The 8,632-nt window shown below is 36.1% G+C and overlaps 1 protein-coding gene across 4 annotated transcripts in view; it reads right to left on the bottom strand.

The window, feature by feature from the left end:
• XPO7 (exportin 7) overlaps positions 1–8,632 on the bottom strand; it is an 86,924-nt gene that overhangs the window by 62,349 nt on the left and 15,943 nt on the right. The gene's annotated exons all lie outside the window — the stretch shown is intronic.

Raw genomic sequence — 8,632 nt, 5'->3', positions numbered from 1 at the left:
ATAAATGCATACTGAATGAATGTCCTTACCTAAGTTACTGATACAGGAAAAGCTCATGGTCAGAGTCCTGGGCCCTAAACCTTGTTCCTAGCTGTCAGTGATTCACTGATTACCACTCTTGGGTATGGCCATTCAACTAGTTACTCAATGATTCAACGAATATTTGAGACTATATTAAATTTTACATTTTAGTCAATTACCTCATGTATATGAGGGTATTCAGAGAGATTTTATCAAACGTTTTGTTGAACTCCAGATACATTTTTGTCTATAACATTTCCCTTTTCTCCAAACATTATTAGCTTGTCTTAAATCCTTCATGAAGCTTTTCTGAATATTCAGATCATACTACTCTCTCCGGCACAACTTTGAATTCAGCAATATACTTTTTAAATACTTTAACCATATGCTGCCTTTTTCTCTTTGTTTAATAAGATTATAACTTATCTTCCCATGATATTCCACAATGTTGAACATACAGCAAGCAGTCAATAAATAAATGCTTAATAGTAGGATGTCTTTCAAATGTGTGAGATATTTGGGTGAGAAAACAAGAATTCTCACCTTAGCCCTACCCTCACTAGTGGGAAAATAGGAGGGAAGAAACAGGATTCTGTATTTACTCTCAAGGGAAGGAAATAAGGAATGTTTTACGCGTTTAACAAAATGACTCACCCTTTAATACTATCAAAATCTGGTTTTATATCCTTAAATCTAAATTTCTTCAAATAAATTATGGCAAGAAACACTTGTGAGAAAAATGTGTTCAGTTATAGTAATCCAAAGAATAAAAGGGGCTATACATTTCTCAGATGATGTGAATTAGAATATTTTAAAACATGCTGTCAATCACCATAGCATCCTAACACTACAGTCCCAAATATTTTATTTAATTCATGACACTCAAAAGGAACTGCCATAAAATATCAAGTTCTTAATTCTTGACAAGCCAGGGAAAGCCGTATTGTGTGCCAATTCCTTAAAAATCCAAGAAGTCATTTTCGTCTTTCTAAAAAATTAACCCGAGAGTGCTGGATATAACAGCTAGTGAGAATATATGAAGTTCTCCAGTTCATAGGTTCCCAAAATGTGGTCCATGGGCTCCTGGGGGTTACTGAAACTTAGGAGGTCTGTAAGAGCTAAGCTATTTTCATAGCAATACCAAGACATTATTTATACACTTTGCTGTACTGACATTTGCACAAACTGTGCACCAAAGGTACAAAGGCAATGGTGGATAAAACGGCTGGTACTTTAGCACAAACTAAGGCAGTAGCATCAAAGTGCACTGGGAGCCATTATATTCTTCACTGCCACACACTCATTTAAAACAAAACAAAACAAAAACCCAGCTAGTTTAAAGTAAGACTGCCCTTCATAAAGAAGCAAAAAAATTATTTTTACTAAATCTCAACTTGAGGACACATCTTGTGACATTGTCTTCCATGTGACAATATGGGAAGCATAAATAAATACTGCTGCATACCAAAGGGTTTTCATGTAAGAGTAAGGAAAGTTCAGATATGGTTTCAGATTCCACACTGCAATTAACCTTTACAAAACTATCACTTGTTGAAGAAGTATTGAAGAATACCCACAATTATCTAAAAGGCTATTGAAATACTCCTCCCCTTTCAAACTACGTTATCTATGTGAGGCTGGATTTTTATCACACACTTCAACCAAAACAACGTATCATAAATAGTCTGAATGCAGAAGTAACTATGAGAATCCAGCTGTACTCCAATAAGACACATATTAAAGAAATTCACAAAAAATTATAAAACAATGCTACCTTACTAAAATTTTGTGCTTTGGCTTGAAAAAGCTTCTCACAATAATGTCTAAAATGGGTTTAAGATGGTTATTTTAAATGAATCACATATTCTAAAAATTGTTTTAATTTCTACAGCAAATATTTTAGCTGTAAGCCACATAAAAGCTCTTTGAGGTCCTTGAAAATATTAAGAGTGTAAAAAGACCCTAAGACCAAAAAAGTTGAGAACTGCTGCTACAAATGATGAAAAGCTTCCCCTGAGAGTCCTGCACCACTTTAAACACAGTAGGACTTACAAAAGATCTAATTTATCTTATTTACCAAGAAATACTTAGGAAAACTATTTGCTACCTTTGTATCTTCTCCAGTATTGCAATGTATGACCAATGGAATTATTATAAGGATATACATAACACCCTCCCCTCCCTGATGTTAAGTAACCATTACCGACTTTTATAGGAATCACTTCCTTGCCATTTTCTTTTTATGGTTTTAGCATCTATGTGTGCTTCTTTAGACATCACAGTTTATTTATTTTGTCCATCAGAAAAAAAAATTGGCAGCCTAGGCAACATCCTGAGACCCCAACTCAACAACAACAACGAAAATTTAAAAAATTCACTACTGGTGGCATGCGCCAGTAGTCCCAGCTAGTACTTGGAAGGCTGAGGCGGGAGGATCGCTTAAGCCTAGAAAATAGAGTCTGTGAAAAACAAACAAACAAACGAAAATACCTTTTAGGTCTCTTTTAATCCATAGGTTTCTCCAGCATCCCTCCCATTTCCTTATATAATTGGCCTTCTGTATCTGTGGGTTCTGTACTAATGGACTCAACCAACCATGGATTGAAAATATTTGGAAAACAAAATTTTGTCTGTCTGTACTGAACATGTATACACTGTTTTTCTTGTCATTATTCCCGAAACAATACAGTATAACAACTATTTATATAGCATTTACATTGTATTAGCTAGTACAAGTAATCTAGAGATGATTTAAAGTATATGAGTCTGAGTGCAGTGGCTCCTGCCTGTAATCCCAGCACTTTGGAAGGCCAAGGCGAGAGGGTTGCTTGACCCCAGGAGTTTGAGACCAGCCTGGGTAACAGGGCCAGACCCCATCTCTAAAAAAAAAATTTTCTTAACTAGTCAGGTGGCACCCGCCTGTAGTTTCACCTTCTAGGGAGACCGAGGTAGGAGGATTGCCTGAGTCCAGGGAGCGGGGTTGTGGCGTGGTCAAGGCAGCAGTGAGCCATGATTGTGCCACTGCACTCCAGCCTGCAAGACAGAGCAAGACCTCATCTCAAAGGGAAGAAAAAAAAAAAAAGCATATAGGAGGATACGCTTGTTATATGCAAATACTAATCCATTTTCTATCAGGGACTTGAGTATCCTCAGATTTAGATATATGGGGGAGGTCTGGAACCAATCCCCCACAGACACCAAGGCATGACTGTAATTTACCTACTGAAGAACTCAGGCTGTTTGACCTAGAGTTCCCTAGGTTTAGGTTGTGCTGATTACATATGCTTGGTATAATTCGGCATGTACCTCTGTTTGGGGTATTTCCTGAAAACTACAGATGCATCCAGAGATTGGATCAGACTGAGGTTCTACCCCGCCTATGGCAAGATTACATACAGGAAGTGTTTTTGGCAAGACTATACAGGACGATGAAAATGCCTGACCACTGGCCAGGCACGGTGGCTCATGCCTGTAGTCCCAGCACTTTGGGAGGCCAAGGCAGGTGGATCACCTGAGGTCAGGAGTTCGAGACCAGCCTGGCCAACATGGAGAAACCCCATCTCTACTAAAAATACAAAAATTAGGCGGGTGTGGTGGCATGCACCTGTAATTCCAGCTACTGGGAGGCTAAGACAGGATAATTGCTTGAACACAGGAGATGGAGGTTGCAGTGAGCCGAGATCACACCACCGCACTCCAGCCTGGGTGACACAGTGAGACTCCGGCTCAAAAAAAAAAAAAGCCTAACTATGTATCTTTTTGTAATCCCGGGAGCCACTGTTGCTTACTACCCATACTACCCACATCTCTCCACTCAGTGGGGACTATAAAATGGTGATACTTTAATTCTATCATTTCTTTTTCAGTTATTAATCAGAATACACTTAACATTTTATTACTCATCTACTATTTAGTTATCTATTGGTTTAGCTCACAAAGAAATAGGCAGGGTAAATATTTGATTCTTTTCCTATATCAATTTTCAAGATAATGAATTGGTATTGGTATTCTACCATCTTCTGAAGGTGGTGTTATTTTTACCATTACTTTTAAAATATCATTAAGAACTCAGGGATTCAAACATATTTGATCAATCTCTCTGCCAAATTTTCAAACAGCACATTCTGGCTACTAAGGACTAGATTTAGCTATTTAGATTTAGGAGTGTGAAGATCAACTTCACATTTGAAAAGGTACATTTCCATCAGCAAAGGTATTTCAGTTCTGAAAAGGCTAATAACTCAGTAGTTCTTAAAAACATGACAGAATTCAGGGAGATTACAAAATATAATGTTCTTAACACATATGCAAAGAAAATAAATAAAATTTAAAAGACTACTAAATGTTTGCTAATTACATTTGAAAATATTCTTCAATGAATTCTCCTTGGTTTTCAGAATAAAACTAAATCTCATTAGCTTAGCTCAGAAAGCATGTTATGATTTGGTCTCTTCAGTCTCATTTCTTGCCACTCTGTCACTTATCCTCTGATCTTTTTAGGTAGTATAAAAAAGAGTTGTCCATTTTGGAGATACTGTTTTCCTGATATGTTTAAAAATTTATCCATAAAAATCTAGAGACAGCTCATATTACAAGTATTCTACAAGAATCTGACTCAATTAACGTTGGCATAAAAAAGTCATTACTTGGTTGTTGGAAGTAACTGCCCTAAAGCAACTTTAAAAATCCAAAACAGACCTGGGGCGGTGGCTCACACCTGTAATCCCAGCACTTTGGGAGGCTGAGGCAGACGGATCACCTGAGGTTGGGAGTTTGAGACCAACTTGACCAACATGGAGAAACTCCCGTCTCTACTAAAAATACAAAATTAGCTGGGCATGGTGGCACATGCCTGTAATCCGGCTACTCGGGAGGCTGAGGCAGCAGAATCGCTTTAACCTGGGAGAAGGAACTTGTAGTGAGCTAAGATCGCAGCACTGCACTTCAGCCTCAGCAAGAAGAGCGAAACTCCATCTCAAAAAAAAAAAAAGAAAAGAAAAAGAAATCCAAAACCAAATTATTGCTTGAAAACAATGGGTATATTCCATAGGCAAAGCGTACACCTATTTTTTAGAAAGAATATGTAAAGAACAAAATAAGAATAGAAGAGCTAAAAACTAAATTATTTCATTTTATTATCAACTTGAAATTTCCAAAGGGGAGTATATTTCATGTATCCAGTGAAAAAAATAATGTAAATAAAATCTTGTTGTTACCAAATGAGATATGAATAAGACTTTCCCAAAAAGATAATTTTCAGACAGAAGGGCAATTATTCTAAACATTTAAAAGTATAATAAGAGATTTAAAATGCCCAGGCTCCTCATTCTCATTAAACAGCACACATAAAAACTCAAGAATCATAAATAACGTTTCTCAATCTGGGATCTTGAGATAGTCTCAGTGCTCCATGAGTTCTCTATGACATTTTTTTTTTAATGATGTATTTTCATTCTTATGACTGTTAAAAAGTTAATATAAGGGTATTCGGAATCATCTGGCTGATCACCTTCATATCTAGTACTGCATCATGTTTGGTTTTCACATTCCTGTTTAGGGGTGTACTAGTGTCAAGTAGTTATAATTTAATCGTTGAGGACTAAATAAAAAGGAGCAGAGGTGAACCTAATATGTAAATGACGCATCCTACCAAGTGAAAGCGAAATTACATTATCAGTGAGTTTCTCAGTGCCTTGAATGCAGAAAAATGGTGAGAAAATTGAGTCATCACATGGCATACCAGCAGTCCTGATATAATGAACTAAAAAAGAACTTACAGTGACTACTTATCGGGTATAGGGTTTCTTTTTGGAGTGATGAAAATGTTGTGAATTACACAGATAGTGCTAATGGATGTACAATATTGTTAATGTACTGGAAGCCAATGAATTCCATAACTTTCAAATTTTAAGTTTTATGTTATGTAAATGTTAACAAAAATATAAAAGAAAAGAAAGTATGGTATACCAGTCAGTATTACAGACATTATCATCTAACATATTAAATATATGTTGCTAATTTGAATGTAACTGGTTCTGTGGTTTGTTTTAAATCTGTAAATCTGTTTATAGTTGCACAAGAAGACAACCCTGAGGAATTTACATCTATTTTTACTATTGTTAATATCTGTTACATTAAAATCAAAATAATTTAAATCAATACCAGAGGGCTTGTGAGACACCAACAGCTATTTAAAAGGGGGTTATATATGCAGAAAGTTTGAAAAAAAATTGATATGAAAGGCTCATAAATATTATCTATATCTTATTTCTCTGAAGCTTTAGTAATAAAAGTTTAATGAAAGTGGGAGTTTAATGCAAAATTTGTATCTACTTTATAAATTACTCCAAAACCTTTGAAGATTCTCATTTACGTAACATTCCTACTTGCAAAAACTGATGATCAATTTGAACATAATATCTGCTTAACAAATATATATTCCTTTTATAAAAGAGGAACAAAGATACCAAGAATCGGGTACTGATTTCCTTGTTGGTCCAGGGTACTTTAATTTCTGCTTGATCCTCTACAATTAAACAGGGTTACCAATAAATAACTTCTGATGATTTCAGTGAACCTTTTAATAATTGATGAACTAACTCCAAAAAGAAATACCTTCCCTGGGTTGACAAATGGCAGCTGTTGTAGATGGGGACACTGCAGTGACAGAAGCAGTGATGGGAACAGAGGGAAACAGCCATGAGCTACTTCAGAATCCTAGGAAACTAGACAAGCACAGTCGGAAAAGTACACTAAACTCAGCTCCTGTGGAGTCTGCCAGCAAAACATCAATTAAAAGTCCTTCCTATTACATGCGTACTAAGAGGTTTAATCTTCTTGGTAACTATTACCGTAAGACATTAAAAGTGCTTCAGCCTGAAACATAACAGATCAAGATGTTTTAAAAAGCAAACAGTTTAATGACTGAACTCAACTGTGTTTTGGAAATACATTTAACACATCCAAATAAGACTGATTCATTTATTCGACTAATATGAATTTGTGTATGCTCTATGGTGGTCATATCTACCATTGATTATATAAATTACTCGTTAATCTAAACACTTTCTAGCCATGCCAAAAATTCCACAAGATAAGCAGTTTTGAAACTTTTAACCTCTTATTGTGCTATGCATTAAAAATAAGGTATAATTTTGGAACTAACAGATTAGTCAAAGTCTGAGTCCGTTAAGAGTGATCTAAAGGTTGATGGCAGAGTGAGTTTTTATCTTGCTAAGGCCAGTATGTAACACCAAGGCACTCAGGCCAGTACTGCGTCGCCTAGTTAACCACTCAACAATGCTTCCCCCTCAACTCTCATTTCACCCGCAAAACCACCCTATATGAAGTAAATATTATTCCTCTTTTTCAAATGAAAAAAGAAGAGAAAAACCCCCAGAAAATTCTACCTATAAAGGAGTGAGTGTTTCACACTGGCCACTAATAGGATTACATGATAAAAAAATTCCAGTTTGGGAACTGCCCAGTTAACCAAAGTAAAATCATTTTTAAACAGAAGAACTCCTAAGAGTCTTTAGTATGCTAATATACACCAAAAATGTCTAAGAGAAAGATACAATACATAGTTTCCAACTTTTAAGATCAAATAATCCTTATTGTGGGCAACAGGTGATAGACCAATGAGCCAAAAAAATACTTAGGAAATTCTGCTTTTGTGGCTTCACGAAATTTGAAGAGTCATCAAAATTGGGAGATTAATCTTTTGAGACTATCTTTAGAGTATGTATCATTTAATACATATAGTAACATTGGTGAAAATAAGCATCAAACATTCTTCACAGGGCAGAAATCTAGTGACATGGATACTGGGCAAGACTGCAGACTATGAGATTCAAATTACATCTATGAAACAAAAGGGCAAAAATTGTTCTGTTGATTGACTGCATCTTCTGGACACAGAGACAGAGGCCATGGTAGAAGGAATAATTATCAGTGATCCACAAATGGCTGCTAATCGGAATGACTTGAGGGTGCTGATCTTAAAAAAAATTAACATGCCACAATGAAACCCTGATTCAGTAGGTTCAAGAGTGGTCCCAGGCAATTTTAGCAGAGGTAGGGTTAGCAGACATTAAAAGACTGGAAACTAAAGGAATTTACACTTAGCAAATTGTCTGATAGGTGGTAAGAGCTCAATAAATACTGTTGTTATTTTATGCCCAGTCGATCTTTCCTGTAGCAATTGGGGCAAAAAAGGGTTCTACAAGGTTGTTTTGGAGAGAAATACTCCACAAAAAGGTTTTGAGAAAAGAAAACCCCAAGGGACAGAATAGTGGCAACTACCAAAAAATGAGGAAAGCTGATTGAGTTTGTGGGATTTGCAGACGAGACAGAGAGAGAGAGATTGAGAGAGAGAGAAAGATATCTTGCCCATACCACCCCTCACGTGGACTCTGCATGGGCATGAGAAGGGCCATGGATTTAATTAGTAGGAAGCCCAACACCATTTTATATATAAGAAAACTAAAGCTCTTAAGGTTATTTAACCTTCTACTACACTACTACACCACTACTAAATGGATTAAAATTTAGATCTTGCTTCAAAATTCAATGCTTCCTCCAAATTCGGTCTAATAAAACAAATTCGTCT

The sequence above is a fragment of the Homo sapiens genome, chromosome 8, assembly GCF_000001405.40.
Source record: "Homo sapiens chromosome 8, GRCh38.p14 Primary Assembly".
NCBI classification, from domain to species: Eukaryota; Metazoa; Chordata; class Mammalia; order Primates; family Hominidae; genus Homo; species Homo sapiens.
This window is presented reverse-complemented; position numbering and strand designations above follow the sequence as displayed.